The 17,173-nt window shown below is 41.8% G+C and overlaps 1 protein-coding gene across 11 annotated transcripts in view; it reads left to right on the top strand.

Moving 5' to 3' along the window:
• Positions 1 to 17,173, top strand: part of MYO5A (myosin VA) — a 221,768-nt gene that overhangs the window by 83,106 nt on the left and 121,489 nt on the right. For all 11 annotated transcript variants that reach the window (XM_047432544.1, XM_047432543.1, XM_047432540.1 and 8 more), the window contains 1 exon segment: positions 12,660 to 12,770. In XM_047432544.1, the coding sequence (XP_047288500.1) occupies positions 12,660 to 12,770 (111 nt within the window).

The following is a 17,173-nucleotide window of genomic DNA, read 5'->3' as shown; positions in this document are numbered from 1 at the left end:
AAATATATATTCCAACTTTAAGTCGCTTCTTTGCTCCTGTACCTGAGTGTAGGCTGTTCGAAGCAGTCGGGCCACATCTTGAATGCTTTTCTGCCTTGAAATTTCTTCTGCCAGATACCTTAAATCATCACTCTGAAGTTCAGTTCCACAGATCCCCTAGGGCGGGGGCCACATTGTAGCCAAGTTCTTTGGTGAGGCGTAACACACGTGACCTTTGCTCCAGTTCCACTAAGTTCCACATTTCCGTCTGAGACCTTCTCAGCCTGGCCTTCACTGTCTGGATCACTATCAGCATTTTGGTCACAACCATTTAACCAGTCTCTAAGAATTCCAAACTTTCTTTCTTCTTCCTGTCTTCTTCTGAGCCTTCCATATGCTTCCAACCTCTGCTGTTACCTAGTTCCAAAGTTGCTTCTACATTTTCAGTTATCTGTATGTGAGGCAATCCCTCACTCCTAGTACCAATTTTTTGTGTTAGTTCATTCTTGCATTGCTATAAAGAAAGACCTGAGACTGGGTAAGTTATAAGAAAAGGGGTTTAATTGGCTTACGGTTCTGCAGGCTGTACATGAAGCATGGCGGCATCTGCTTCTAGGGAGGCCTCAGGGAGCTTTCACGGTGGAAAGCAAGGCAGGAGCAGACACATCACATGGCAAAAAGCAGGAGCAAGAGACAGAGAAGGTGGGCGGAGGTTGCAACACATTTTAAAATGCCCAGATCTCACGAGAACTCACTATCACAAAGGCAGTAGCAAGCCATGAGGGATCTGCCCACATGATTCAAATACCTCCCACCAGGCCTCACCTCCAGCATTGGGGATTACATTTCAACATGGGATTTGGGCAGGGACAAATATCCAAACTGTGTCATTTCCCAAGTTAGCAAAAGACCTAGAAGTGTCGATTCCCAAAGCTGGGGAGCAACACAAAGGGAGCTGCCTGTTATAAGTGGGAGGGAAATACATACCGGCACCTGTCTATTATTTCCCAGGTACTGTTTTGGCACCTTATCCATATTGTCTCATATAATGTATGTGTTGTTTGATGTTTAATGCCATGATTCCTTAAATCTTACCATGTTAAGACATTTTAGTTAAAATTTAAAAAATTACCCATGACTTCTTTCATCACTACATCATTTATCAGGGTGATAGATAGTCTATGTGGGAGGAAGACCCCTATATAAAGAGGCCTGTACATATTTAATATGACTTCCATTTAATACTTTTTTCTACATTGAGAACAAGTGTTGAAAATGATAGGAAAGTGTGAGTTGTTTTGCTTAGTTGAGCAACTTTGGTCCCAATCAGGAGAAAGTGATTCAATGAGATTGTGTTTTTCTTATTCTTCCTTATACAACCTAATCATTTTGAAATCAGAGATCTTTCTCGGTTTGAATTCTGCTTCTGCCATTTATTAGCTGAGTGACTTTGGGGCAAGTTATCTAACTTCTCTCAAGTGTTTTGTTGAATAAGGAACTTCTTTAATAATAATTATAAAGCATATTATGAGGTTAAGTAAAGTTAGGACTTTTCTTTATCCTGATCAAAGTCCTGTGATGAATACAACCTATATAGTTCGCTTCCCTGTTGGTGATTCTGTTTTACCTTTGATTATTTTAATTATTTAGAATTTTGTGGTTTAAAATACCACCAGCTAATTATAGATGGAAATACTAATTTTTCTTGATATGCATATTAACACTGTTCTTAAGAAGTGAGATCTAGTTCTGAAAATAATCTTTACACGAATGTTAAATAACTACAGTGTCTAAAAATACTCATTCCAAAGCTCTGTCATCTCACATAAAATTTTAGAAAAATAAGAATATTTAATTTTTGCTACTTAATGGTGACAAAGCATATCCATCAATTTGCAAGTTCTTGTTTTCTTCCTAAATTTAAAATGATAATTTCAGTGTCTGGAGGGAGCTGACTTGAACTTGATTTTCCTTTTTTTTTTGGAGACAGAGTCTTCCTCTGTTGCCCAGGCTGGAGTGTAGTGGCACAATCTCGGCTCACTGCAACCTCCGCCTCTCAGGTTCAAGCAATTCTTGTGCCTCAGCCTCCCAAGTAGCTGGGACTGTGCAGGTGCGTGTCACCACTCCCAGTTAATTTTTTGTATTTTAGTAGAGACAGGGTTTCACCATGTTGCCCAAGCTGGTCTTGAACTCCTGAGCTCAGACAATCCACCCGCCTCGGCCTCCCAAAGTGTGATTTACTTTTTTTTTTTTTTTTTGAGATGGAGTCTTGCCCTGTCGCCCAGGCTAAAGTGCAGTGGCCCAGTCTCAGCTCACTGCAACCTCTGCTTCCCTGGTTCAAACAGTTCTGCCTCAGCCTCCCGAGTAGCTAGGATTACAGGCACCCACCACCATGCCCAGCTAATTTTTGTGTTTTTAGTAGAGACGGGGTTTCTCCATGTTGGCCAGGCTGGTCTCGAACTCCTAACCTCGTGATCTACCCGCCTCAGCCTCCCAAAGTGAAGCGTGATTTACTTTTAAACCAGGTACATTTCACAGTATATGCAAGGTAACTTGCAGAGTCAGCAAAAAAATAAAAATTTTAAGTCAACCCTATGATTTTGTTCATTTATAGAAGTTCATGAACCTGAGCTCATTCATTAAAATTTTAGTCTTCAGCATCCTCAGATTGTTTTTTTGCTGTTATTGACTAACCTCATTTTTGGTAGAGCCTTCATTCTCTTGTCAGAGCTCATTGGAACACTGCAGGATGGATGGCAAGCTGATTGGCATGGCTTTGACATGTTGTCTTAGATGAGACATTCTTAAGTTTCACCAGATGACATGGGCCAGTTTAATAGCTGTTTTCATTATGATACCAAGAACAATTTGGGGGTGGAGGAGGGGAATTCCTTCATAATAAAATCTACTGTTTTGGCCAGGCACGGTGGCTCACGCCTGTAATCCCAGCACTTTGGGAGGCCAAGGCAGGCGGATCACAAGGTCAGGAGATCGAGACCGTCCTGGCTAACACGGTGAAACCCTTTCTTTACTAAAAATTAGCCAGGATTGGTGGCATGCACTTGTATTGTAGTCCCAGCTACTTGGGAGGCTGAGGGAAGAGAATCGCTCGAACCTGGGAGGTGGAGGTTGCAGTGAGCCGAGATCGTGCCACTGCACTCCAGCCTGGGCAACAGAGCAAGACTCTATCTCAAAAAAAAAAAAAAAGAAAAAAACTGTTTTAACAATGGGTGGGCATAGTGGAGTAGAAAGAATGTATGGCTCCTAGAGTAGACTTGGAACTTCATCTCTATCATGTTTAAGGTTTAAGCCTCAATAGCTGTTAAAATGGGTTAGTACTGGGGTTAGTTATTGTGATTATTTGAATGAAATTATACATGTAAAATACCTGGGCCTCTACTGGCACACAAAAGGTGCTCAATAAATGTTAGCTCTGGTTCCTTATAAGCCTTTGCTAAGTCCTGTCAAGCAGAGTTGGTTGTCATTCAGCTCCTCGGCAGCATTTCTGTGACGCTGCAGTGAGGTACAGGACACTTCTGCTCTTCACTTCTCGACTCTACCCAGAATGCACCATGTGTTCAGCACTCCACACCCCTTTTTTCTCTTACACCCATTTTACTGTGACCCCTTGCCCTGATCTAGACCCTCTGGCTTTCCTTTCTTCCCATCTGTCCCCCTCCTTGCTGCTCCAGGAGATGGCTGGTGGAGGTGGTGGCGCCAGCATTTCTTTTCCTTCTGAGGAAGGAATTTGTGGTAGGGTTTGGGTGGGGACTGAATCTCTGTTCTGGAGGTTTGGGGTAGCTTCCACTCTAAACACATGAACATGAAGGGAAGAGTTGTGGGTTTGTCGGGGGTGGGAGGAGAGAAAAGGATTTCTCATTACTTCTCTGCTCCCCACATGCCTAGCTCTTTTTCCTTCTGTCACACAAATATTTCTTACATAACTGTCTAATGCATCATGCATATTCTCTGTTTCTGGAAATTACAGAGCCTTTCAGAAGATTTTGGGAGTGTTTGGTAAGACCGATAATTCTTTTTGTCCACCCTCTTGGAAGCTAAGAACACTCATATAACAAAAGTTTTTTGAAAAATTATTATGGGCAGTCCCTGCTGAATAGACAAAGTTGAAAAAGATACAGCTCTCCTTGCAAGGAGCTCACAGTCTTTAAAGATAGGCACCCAAAGTCATCATTTAGTGGGATAAGGATTCTAGCAGAAGATCGTATAAGGTAATAGAGATGTTGAGAATGGAGAGCCAAATGAGGAGAAGAAGTCAGGAAAAGCCTGTTAGAGGAGGTGGCACTTGAACACAGAATTGAGGAATAAATAGGAGCTTGCTGCTGAAGAGGGAAGAGATTGTGTTTCAGATGGAGGAAACAGCTACAGCAAAGGCTTACAAGTGTGAAACAGCATGGCTTGTTCAGGGTATAGCAAACCCATAGTTTTCTGTGACTGGAGAATAGAAGTGGCAAGTGAAAATTGGTGGGGAGCAGGATGAAATGTTTAAGAATATATTCCATCAAGGGCCTTCAATAGCGTAAGTAGTGTTCTACTTATGAACCTAAGTGGTGGGCATATGGAAGTTCATTACGTCATTCTTTCATTCAACAAATTATTTATGTATACACACACATGCAGACACACACACACACATCCTCTTGTATGACATATTTCATAACAAATTTAAAAAATACAAAATACACCATTACTAAGGGGGGCAATTTTCTAGATTTCCTAGTTTCTTTAATAATTTTTGTTTCCTTTTTTCTGGGGAGCTCATCATGTGCTTTTAGAATAGTAGTTCCTGAATTTTTTATACCAAAAACATGCTCTAAAGACTATATGAATTACTTAGTAATCATGTGTAACATCCGCATTAATGTCAGATTTCAGAGGAGGGGGTACTGGTGACGTTTCAGGATTTCTTCCCTGCTTTAGTTCAAAGCCCAGAGGAGCACTTAGTTTTTGTAATATGCTTGATTGAATTGTGACATAAAGCACTCATTTTTGCAAACATTCACAATGGGCTATCGAAAGTGAGCCATGGCCGATTCTGAATTGCCAAGCTGCTCATGATTTAATACAGAAGCTAATAAAGATGTGCACATGTGCTATAAAGCAAATAATGTATATGGGAGTTAGGGGGAGAAGAGAGAAGATCATATGGGTCAAATTCTTTGGGTTTTGAGGGCTGGTCAGTTTACTCTGTTAATGCTGTTAGTTTTGTTCCCAAAAGTGTCTGGGGCATCAGAAGCAACTGCTTTTGGTGCCCACACCCTCAGTGTTCCTTGACAGACAAAACACAAGTTAGCAAAACTTCCAGTGAGTCATCTGCATCAATCAAGGGCCTCTTCAGTGTTGTCATCATGGTAAGATACCAAAAGAAAGATGACTGGTGGGCCAGGTGCGGTGACTCATGCCTTTAATCCTAGCACTTTGAGAGGCCGAGGTGGGCAGATCACCTGAGGTCAGGGGTTCAAGACCAGCCTGGCCAACATGGCGAAGCCCCGTCTCTACTAATAATATAAAAATTAGCCAGGTGTTGTGGTGCATGCCTGTAATCTCGGCTACTTGGGAGGCTGAGGCAGGAGAATCGCTTGAACCTGGGAGGCAAAGGTAGCAGTGAGCAGAGATTGTGCCACTGCACTCCAGCCTGGGCAACAGAGCGAGACTCCATCTCAGAAAAAAAAAAAGAAAAAGAAAAAAAAAAGATGGCTGGTGCCTCCTTAAACATGCAAGGCTGGGTGTAACCCCCAAGGAGGTGCAAGGGCAGTGCTGGGTGAGCCAACACTGCTTGGTGCCTCTCTCTGGCATGTTCCAGTGCCAGCATGTCCCTTGAACGTGCCTTTCTAGTGCTCTTCTTTTAGACTCTGTCAAAATTACCTCATTGCTGCCAGGCAGGCCTCATTAAATTGTATTGTGGAAGGACAGATGTCTTTTATTTTCCTTGCAAGCTATTATGCAGGTTAAATCTGTGCTAGCATTATTTTCTCAGATTTTAGCTATTATAAAATTTAGTCCGTCTTCATTTTATTCTCATCCTGATTTTTTGTCAAGTGGTTCATTTGAATTGTCACAAATCTTTGATGTGTGTTTACATTTTATGTAGTTTAGGTTTATTTTCTCATTTCTCCCTCCCTAGGTTTTTTCTTTAATCCCAATACCTCAAATCTCAGGCTCTTCTTTTTCCTTCTCCTACCAGTTTCTACATCATTATTTACTTTTTCTTTACCTACTACTTCATGAGTCTCTCTTCTTTAAGCCTCTGATTCATGCCCCATCTCAACCCTGCTTGGTGGCCTCAAACTCTGGTATGGCTTCATGGAAAATCCTGAGCTAAGCCTGTGGAATGTTGCCAATTTTTCTCACCTCTTTTCCTTGCCTTACCTTATCTCAGTCTTAAATAAAATCAACATATATGTGCTGCCCACAAACTATGGGCCAGGAACTTGGCTGACCTCAAAGGGGATTCAAAGATGGCTTTGAAAGAGTATATAGTCTGGTATGGAAGGTAGGTAGATTCATAAATAACTAAAATAAGGTTTCAGGTAGCATAAGTGAGATGTTTGAGAGACTCTCACAAGATAATGAGGGACTAGATCTAGAGTAGTGTGAGTGGAGAAGAGGAAACGGGGATCACTGAAAGAGAGCCTAACCCTTTGTTAGCTAATCATGACAGAATCCAGCTACATGACAGTGTTACCGGGTCGTCCTTGCTCCCAGAGCTCCCAAGATGGTGGCAGGCCACTTCCAAAATGGCGGCGGGCCACTTCCAAGATGGTGGCAAGCCTCATGTTCTCTGACCTGGGGTTCTTGGCCTCACGGATTCCAAGGAATGGAATCTTGGGCCATGCGGTGAGTGTTATAGCTCTATTAGAAGCCGTGGGTCACGGAAGAGAACTGTGGAACCCAGTGACTGACTAGTGTTCAGCTCGATTAGGACGAACCCGGGCACTTAGCCATGCAGGAACGATGGCAAGCCTGTAGCCCTATCGGGAGCAGCAGTGGGCGCCTAGCTGGATCAGGAGTACAGCAGACACCCTGCTGGATCCACCCTGTGGAAGTCAGCCACAGGTCTGTAACAGTGGCAAACAGCAGTGGTGGACGGCGAGCGAAAGCTCAGCTCGAGCCGTAACAAACACAGACCAAAAGAAAGTGCAGTTGCAAGATTTAATAGAGTGAAGACAGAGCTCCCATACAAAGGGAGGGGACCCAAAGAGGGTAGCCGTTGCCGGCTGGAATGCCTGGGTTTATATCCCGATCATTGTCCCTCCCGCTGTGCTCTTAGGCGATAGATGATTAGCTATTTCTTTACCTCCTGTTTTTGCCTAATTAGCATTTTAGTGAGCTCTCTGATGGCTCGGGTGTGAGCTAAGTTGCAAGCCCCATCTTTAAAGGTGGACGTGGTCACCTTCCCAGCTAGGCTTAGGGATTCTTAGTCTGCCTAGGAAATCCAGCTAGTCCTGTCTCTCAACAGGGGCTTTCCCTTGCCTTGCTGGGGCTGTGTCCAGTTTGATTCACTTTGGCCAGGGTTATTGTTTTCTAACTGCTTCTTTTTCACCAGGAGGGCCTTCTGCAGACTAAGTAGGCAGTGTCTATCCTTGTTTCTGATTCCTGCCCGACTCACACTGTGTCCCATTTCTAGGTTCCTCATGCGTTCCAGTGGCCTTGTCTTCTTGCCTGCCTTCCCCCAGTCTTCTCACCGGATGTGACTGGACAAGTTTAGTTCTATTCCTGCCATGTGTATTTGCTTTGCGGCCTGGGGGAGGCAGGGTTGGAAGTGATGAAAGCAGTAGGAAGTGGCATATCAGGTTGAGATTTCCCTGTTTCAGCATCTAAGGTATATATCCTCAAACTGACCCCCTTCTGGCATAGTTGTTTCTGCAGAGTCACTGATCTCATTGGTTAAGATGGAAAAGAACCACAGAAAGGCAATGGTAATAATAGAATGGTTTCTGACCTATTTCTCCTTGGATGCTTTCCTCAGAGGTAAAGCTAAGATAAAGAGGAAATTGGTTATCAGGGTGGTGTTCAGTGTTTAAATATCTTGCTTTTGGTGAATATGAGGGCCTTATCCTCCCACTGCTTATCTGTAAGTGTTGTTAACATCTAGCCCTTGGAAATCTGGTCTTTGGCAAAGTATCTACTTTTTGCAAAATACTTGTGGAAATCTGAGCTGGAGCTCCCTACTAACACAGAACATGAAGGCACTTTCTAGATTTAAAGTCTCCTCATGTTTAGGCACTGGTCAGTCATGCTTCTACAAACTCACTTGGACACATTTTCCTTTTTTGTGTTTTCATCAGTCAAGGTGATAGGTCATTTCATGATTCTGAATATCTCTCTCTCTTTTTTTTTTTTTTTTTTTTTTGAGATGGAGTCTTGCTCTGTTGCCCAGGCTGGAGTGCAGTGACTTGATCTTAGCTCACTGCAACCTCCACCTCCTGGGCTCAAGTAATCCTCCCACCTCAGCCTCCTGAGTAGCTGGGGTTACAGGCACGAACCACCATGCCTGGCTAATTTTTGTATTTTTAGTAGAGGCGGGGTTTCACCATGTTGGTCAGGCTGGTCTCTAACTCCTGAGCTCAAGTGATCCGCCTGCCTAAGCCTCCCAAAGAGCTGGGATTACAGGCATGAGCCACTGTGCCCAGCCCGACTCTTAATCTCTTTATATTTATATATCTTTTCTGGAACCAGTAGTGCCTTCCAGAGAAAGCTACAAAAGTGCTGTCTTTGTAAAGTAAGCTTCAGAGTGGGAGCAGTTAGTACATAGAAATATTTATTACATGAGTAAGGCTTTAGTGATATGTACAGATATTACTCAGTTTATGGACTGTGTCCCTGGGAAAAAAGTTGTAAAACAAATTTCAGTAACATGTTTGATATATGACATTAGAAATCACTTCCTATGGGAAAAACAGTAACAACCCCACCTTGTACTTATATATTGGTTTATACTTTTCATGAAGTTTCTATGTGCGTAAGCCTTTGCAATAAACTAGAAGACTATTGTTGTCATCCTCATTTTATTGTTGCCTGAAATAAAGGCCAAGGCCCATCTGGTGGCCCTGGGAGTAGAACCCATAGTCTAATTCCATACTCTTTCCTCTGCAAACTGTTTAGATTAAAAGTTTGTATGTGTTGGTAATAATAAGAGAAAATTAAAGCAATTGAGCGAGCTTTTAATCATGCTACTTATATTCAATTTAAAGAGATGCCTTTTATTCTGATCTTCTTTCGATAAGTTCTTACTAAGCACCAGCTCTGTGTCAGGTACTGTTCTAAGTACTGCCTGCTGTGTTGAACAACACAGACACAGAACTTATGTTCTAATGAAGGAAGAGAGATAGTAAATAAGTAAACAAACAAGAACATAACAGCAGGTGATTTCAGATAGTGAATAAGAGTGCTGAAGAATGTAAAATAGAGAATGGTAATAGTAGTTTGGATTGATTTCCGCTAGAAAGGTCTGGGAAGGCCTCTCTGAAGAGGTTTACATTTGAGCTATCATATAAGTGAGAAGGAGGCAGACATAAGCAGATCTGGGAGAAGTACATTATAGAGGGCTTAACAAGAGCCAGGGTCTAGAGACAGGAGCAAACAAAACTGTGTTCCTGAAGAACTAAAATAAGATCTGCATAGTGCCGGCTTAGAGGTTGGCAGGGGAAGGAAAGGACAGGTCATGAAGGCCCTTGTAGAACATGGTAAGGGATTTGTATGTTAACTATGATGGCCAGGCCAGGTGTGGTGGCTCACGCCGTAATCCCAGCACTTTGGGAGGCCAAGGTGGGAGGATCACTCTCTGAGGCTAGGAGTTTGAGACCAGCCTGGCCAACATGGCGAAACCCTGTCTCTACTAAAAATACAACAACAACAAAAAAGTAGCCAGGTGTGGTGGCAGGCACCTGTAATCCCAGCTACTTGGGAGGCTGAGGCAGGAGAATCGCTTGAACCCCAGAAGCGGAGGCTGCAATGAGCCGAGATCATGCCATTGCACTCCAACCTGGGCAACAAGAGGAAAACTCTGTGTCAGAAAAACAGAAAACAAAAAAACTGTGATGGCTATTTGTCCTACTGTTTTCTTGTTAAAATGTCCTTTATTTTGTAAAACGATGGTGATATTAGACAGTAAATTGGTATTTATGTTGCCTCTGCTGAGTGTGAGGGCTTTAGCCTCTACTTGTCTGTAAGTGCTGCCAATAATTAATGGTTTTATAATCTTACTTGTCAAGACTAAAAGTTAGTTAATAACCTTATATCAGTCCCCAAACTTTAAGTAAAAAATTTTACCAGCCATGAAATCTAGTAGTTTGGAAACTATGGCAATATACCACAGCAGCTTCCCAATAGGAAGGCTTGAAAATATTTGTCAGTAAAGAGGTTAACATAGGCTGGGCATGGTGGCTCATGCCTGTAATCCCAGCACCTTGAGAGGCCAAGGCGGGTGGATCATGAGGTCAGGAGATCGAGACCATCCTGGCTAACACGGTGAAACCCTGTCTCTACTAAAAATAGAAAAAAATTAGCTGGGTGTGGTGGCATGTGCCTATAGTCCCAGCTGCTCGGGAGGCCGAGGCAGGAGAATCACTTGAACCCAGGAGGCGGAGGTTGCAGTGAGCCGAGATCGTGCCACTGCACTCCAGCCTGGGTGACAGAGTGACAGAGTGAGACTCCGTCTCAAAAAAAAAAAAAAAAAAAAAGAGGTTAACGTAATATCCAGGACAGTGGCATGGCATGCTGAAATGTTTTTCTTAATTTAAATTATCTTGAATCTCAGATCTACCTGTACTTTCGTTCACCCACTTTCTTTTCGCTTTCTCCTATCTGTAAGTTCATCACTGGGTCATATAAATTTCTCTTGTACTTGGGAATGACCTTGTTACAAGCTTCCAGAACTTTGTGCCCAGTACTTAGAATAGTCATTACATTATCACAGTTCTTTGGGAAGTTGCCCCATATTTAACATACTCAAATCCAAATGCTCCTTCTCAAAGCTCCAAGTAAATTAGTACCCTGATTATTGTTAAAAATGAAATCTAGAGGTGAATTTACATGAAATGAGGATACAGATACAGGCCAGAGACCGGGTTCAGTCTGGCCCATGCCAGCCATGATTGATTGTGTCATGTCTTTCCCTTGCTGGCTGAATCTAGGATTCCTGTTTTCATATGTGATTTGTTCATGAAAATGGGCATTTAGGTTTAGTGTATGTGTGTTTTAAAGGGAAATTTCTTCCCAGAGAGTCCAAGCACATAAAAACACTTCTTCAATGTGGTATTCGAAAGATTTGTGCATGTTAGTATATTTTGTTCTTTTTCTTCAAAATTGACCACATAATCTTCTGGCTTATGTCCAGGGAGTATCTAGTTGAGGCAAAATATTTGCTGCTTTGGGAATCCCTGATGATTACCATGCCTTTTTCATGATGTTGAGGCTACAGGAGCTAAGCTTATTAGTGACTGGCTGTGCCATTTTTACCATTTCCCACTCATCTTTATAAAATAATGAAGGCAAAATGCTGAACAACCGTGTTTCTTCAGTTTTAAAAAATCTGTTATTTTTATTCTCCTCTTCTCCCTACTGTGATGGCTCCTGAAGGATGTCTGAGAAATCACTAAGGCTTTGCAGAGCACAGGATGCAAACCACCATAAAAAAATCCAAATTGTGGGCCGGGCACGGTGGCTCATGACTGTAATCCCAGCACTTTGGGAGGCTGAGGCAGGTGGGTCACGAGGTCAGGGGTTCGAGACCAGCCTGGCCAACATGGTGAAACCCCGTCTCTACTAAAAATACAAAAATTAGCTGGGCACAGTGGCACATGCCTGTAGTCCCAGCTACTCGTGAGGCTGAGGCAGGAGAATCACTTGAACCCGGGAGGCAGAGGTGGCAGTGAGCCGAAATCGTGCCACTGCACTCCAGCCTGGGCAACAGAGCGAGACTGTATCTCAAAAAAAAAAAAAAAAAAGAAAAAGAAAGAACAAAAAAATCCAAATTGTAAACCCAGCCATAAAAAGATGGCAGTGCTGTTGAAACTGGCAGAACCACAACACCATAGCTTCAAAAATAGATCTTATGTGTACATTTTAACCTAAAATTATACTTTCAGGTGGCATTTACTGTGTAAAGCAAAGTCAAGCTTTGATCATAACTGTTTTTTCAGAGCACACTTTTTATATAATTTGGGAATGGTGGTGCTATGAGAGCTAAAATATTTTTTGTTTACTAATTTAAAAAGTAAATTTCAGCTGGACGTGGTGGCTCACACCTGTAATCCCAGCACTTTGGGAGGCTGAGGCGGGTGGATCACCTGAGGTCAGGAGTTTGGAGACCAGCTTGGCCAATATGGCGAAACTCCATCTTTATTAAAAACAAAAAAATTAGCTGAGTGTGGTGGCAGGCGCCTGTAATTCCAGCTACTCAGGAGGCTGAGGCAGGAGAATTGCTTGAACCCAGGAGGCAGAGGTTGCTGTGAGCTGAGATCATGCCACTGTACTCCAGCCTGGGCAACAAGAGCTTAACTCTGTCTCAAAAAAAAAAAAAAAAAAAAAAAAGTGAATTTCATGTTGGCCAAGATTTCTTTTTTCATAAATTGTTTAATTATAAATAGTTATCATATGTTTATATATGATTGTAAAATAATTGATTTGCTAGTTTAAATTTTTTTCTTTTTGTCTTCTAGTTTGCCAGGGTTTGGATACCTGATCCAGAGGAAGTCTGGAAGTCAGCAGAGCTGCTCAAAGATTATAAGCCAGGAGATAAAGTCCTCCTGCTTCACCTCGAGGAAGGAAAGGTGAGATCTCACTTTCATTTGTTGTCATTGGCATAAAGTGAAGGGAGTTCAAAAGTGTAAATTTACTGTGAAGTAAACTCCCAATGGAAGTTAAATTTTGAACTTACCTAGAATTTTTACTTACTAAATTGGTAAAAATGGCAAACTCAGTTTTCTATCCTGATAGTGTTTTTAATGGCATAGATTAGTGAAAATAGCAGATACTTTAAAAAGCTTCTATTTTGGCCTGTGAATTTATTATGATTATCAGGTTTAGATTCACATCTAATCCTAAAACTCTTGCATTTAACTGGTGTGCTATGGGGAGTGCTTGTAGTGTTTTTAAAAAGAGGCATGGTGCCAGGTCTTAGAGGAGACTCATTGGTGGCAGCATGGAGAGCAAAACTGAGGGGAAGATACTAGTTGGGAGGAAGGCGGGGAAGAATTAGGCCAATTAGGAGGGCTTTTAATACCAAACTAGGGAATTAACTTATTTAACATTTATTGGTCATCTGCTTTGTTAGGCAAAATGTTCGGCACTTTGGAGTGAATTTTCTCACGTTAAATTTCACACCAACCCTATGGGTTGGCAGGTGATATAATCACTATTTTCCAAATAAGAAAGCCAAACTTCAAAGTCATTAAGTAGTTTTGCTCAAGGTCACACAGCCAGGAAGTGGCTTTTGGAATTTGAAGTGAGATTTGAACACAGATGACTCTAAGATGAGTGCTTATACTATTTGACTATATTGGATTTTTGCAGATTGCTGGCCATGACCAGTTGCTTAAGGTGATGTCTGCCATGTTATCCACTGTAAAGTTACTGTTTTCCCTTTGTAATTAATGAATGTCATTGTGTTGGGGCAGATGCTTTGAGGCCACTCATATATCCTGCTTCTCCTTAAACTTTTCCTGCTAATATTTGCCCAGTGTTCATTACTGTGTCTTGCCTGCAGCAAATATCGTTGTGTTCTAGTGGTGATTCTCCATTTCTTTCCTTCCTTCTATACTTATTAACTAGAATTCTTCTATAGGGAAGGAAGTATTGTTTCTCCTCTCCCATTTATTTATTACTTTAATCATTTATTTATTATGGGCTCATGGGTATTTCTTTTATTCTTCATTACTATCATTATTTATTTTATCAATTAAATTGTTCCAGCTTTGGTCATTGAGATCTCTCTTAGATTGGGTCCTTTGACTTTTTTGACAGGTCCCTATCCTTTTTTATTTTTTTTTGAGGCAGGGTCTCACTTTGTCACCCAGGCTAGAGTGCAGTGGCTTGATCATGCCTCCCAGGCTCAGCCTCCCTCCCTAGTGGCTGGAACCACAGGCATGAGCCACCATGCCTGGCTAATTTTTAAATTTTTTTAGTAGAGATGGAGTCTCAATATGTTGCCCAGGCTAGTCTCGAACTCCTGAGCTCAAGCAGTCCTCCCACCTCGGTCTCCTGAAGTGCTGGGATTATAGGCATGAGCCACTGTGCCTGGCTTATTTTTTTTTTTTTTTTTAGATATAGCACTTCTCCTGGTACCCTAAGATACTTACCCTGTATTTCCCCTTTCCCAGCCCTGTTACCTTATATTGGAGGATAGTATTTGACAGCCAAGATCTGAGCACTAGGTGTGCTCATTGCTATTGAGATGACACCACTTCTCAGCCCTCTTAGCATAGAGAGCTAGAAAAATATATACATGGATGGATAGATAGATACTAATATGTATGCATACTATACTAATGTATACTCAACCATCTATACTTACTTTATGTCTATGTTTACATATGTATGTATGTGTTTGTATGTATGTATTTTATATATATAATGTGTTTTTAGAGATGGTTGTCTTGCTATGTTGCCCAGGCTAGTCTTGAACTGCTGGGCTCAAGAAGTCGTTTTACCTCGTCCTCCCAAAGTGCTGGGATTAAAGGCATCAGCTACTGCACTAGACTTTTTTTTTTTTTTTGAGACGGAATTTTGCTCTGTCACCCAGGCTGGAGTATTGTGGTGCAATCTCGGCTCACTGCAGCCTCCACCTCCCGGGTTCAAATGATTCTTGTGCCTCAGCTTCCTGAGTAGCTGGGATTACAGGCGCATGCCACCATGCCTGGCTAATTTTTGTGTTTTTAGTAGAGACAGGATTTTACCATGTTGGCCAGGCGGGTCTCAAACTCCCAACCTCAAGTGATCCACCCACCTCGGCCTCCCAAAGTGCTGGGATTACAGGCATGAGCCACTGCACCCAGCCTTGACTTTTTTTAAAAAAAATAAAACCCGTGAGTTAATAGGGATCCTTTTTTCTCCAGTCCAATGCCACCAGGTTCATTCTATTATTCTTCCTTTGATTATGTGTACTATAACTTCTCTTTTTGGTTTTCATTAGCTATATTACTTATTCATTATAGACATAAAGTTATTTCAGAATTGCTAATCCATACCCTATTATAAGAAGCAGATTTGCCAACCAGAGTACAGTGTCTATGTTTAATTTTATTAATCCTTAGTATTTTTTAAAAATCTAGAAATAGAATGATACATACCTTTAATAAAAGCAAGACTAGGGACAGGGGTCAAACAAGAAGAACAGACATTATAAAATTCCTGAACTATTCAAGAATCATTCTCTTTTTAGAAACTATAGTCACTTAGGGTCCTAGAATAAAATAGAGAAAGCATGGCTTTTGTAATAGTAGAAGAGTATATTTATTTAATGATGTCCAGTGATTCCAGAGGAGCAGTTTATGTCCATTTAAAGCCTAACTCCAAGAAGGAAATTTCTGTGAAGATGTTACAGATCTTCTCTACCTTTCAAATTAGTGTCTTCTCTAATATTTCAATTTCAGCTTCTCCCCACACTAGCCACAAACAACCCCACCCTGTAATGAAGACTGAGGAAAGAGCTCTGGGTTGCCCTTCTGCCATTCTGGAGTCTCCTGGCTAATACCAGAACAGACAATTGTGTATTTACAGGGCCAATGCAAGGACCAGTCAGCCCCAGGCAAGGGTGATATTCTCTGATAAACAGGCAGCAAGAAATGCTGAGTGGTAAATTGTTAATTTTTCTCTCCTTTAGCATAATTCGTTCAAATATGATTTGAATATTTGACCTCTGTATATATTTTTAGTATTACCATAACTGGCTTTTTACAAAACCTTGTCCCTCCCTACAACTAAATTGAATTTTTATTCCTATTCACTTGTCCTATGTTATTTGCCCCTTTATATAGTTAAGTGACAATATTCATGGTTGGCTGTGCCATGAAGCCGTATTCCCGTGACTTTAAAGTGAATAGTGGCTAGTAATGGTCACTCACACCTGTAATCCCAGCATTTGGGAGGCCAATGCAGGAGGATCCCTTGAGGCCAGGAGTTCGAGATCAGCCTGGGCAACATAGTGAGACCCCCATCTCTATTAAAAATTAACTGAATAGTACTTGTTAACTTTTGGGACCAGGAACCCTATTAAAATGTCGTTTGTTTTGTTTTGTTTTGTTTTTTTGTTTTTTTTTGAGATGGAGTCTCGCTCTGTAGCCCAGGCTGGAGTTCAGTAGCGTGATCTTGGCTCACTGCAACCTCTGCCTCCAGGGTTCAAGTGATTCTCCTGGCTCAGCCTCCCGAGTATTTGGAATTACAGGTGCCCACCACCACGCCTGGATAATTTTTGAGTTTTTAGTAGAGATGGGGTTTCACCATGTTGGCCAGGCTGGTCTCGAACTCCTGACCTCAGGTGATCCACCCACCTCGGCCTCCCAAAGTGTTGGGATTACAGGCATGAGCCACCATGCCTGGCCAATTTTTGTATTTTTAATAAAGACGGAGTCTTGCCATGTTGGCCAGGCTGGTCTCGAACTCCTGACCTCAGGTAATCCGCCCGCCTTGGCTTCCCAAAGTACTGGGATTACAGGTGTGAGCCACTGTGTCCGGCCTAAATCTGATGAATGAATAAGCATATGCACAGAAAAAAACAAAAAGCAAACAAAACAAAAATCTCATGAAAACTATGAATTGTCTTGCCTCAAAAAAAGTACACATATGTGCACATACACACAGAGTTGTTGCACGTAATTTCAGGGGATTCTTGGGTATCTAGTGGTTTAAGGATTCCTAAGTACTTACCACATGCCGGACTTGCCTCATTTACTTTTTTACCACAACCCTGTTAGCCCATTTTACAAATGAAGGATTTGGGTGAAATACTGTAACTCAAGACCACATAAAAAGTAAGTATTAGTATCAGGATTTGAATCCTGGGCAATCTGATCCTAGAGCCAAGCTCTCGACCACTCTTTTATATTGTCCGCCACTTTTTTATAGGTAAAAGGGGTTGGAGGAGAGAAACATATTTAAAAGTTTAAAACTTCTGATTCAGTACGTGGGTGAAAAAGGTCTAGGCTATGGCTTTCAAAGTATATTAGCAAAAATTGTT

The sequence above is a fragment of the Homo sapiens genome, chromosome 15 (assembly GCF_000001405.40).
Source record: "Homo sapiens chromosome 15, GRCh38.p14 Primary Assembly".
Classification (NCBI taxonomy): domain Eukaryota; kingdom Metazoa; phylum Chordata; class Mammalia; order Primates; family Hominidae; genus Homo; species Homo sapiens.
Note: the sequence above shows the minus strand (reverse complement) of the source record. Positions and strands in the feature narration are given on the sequence as shown.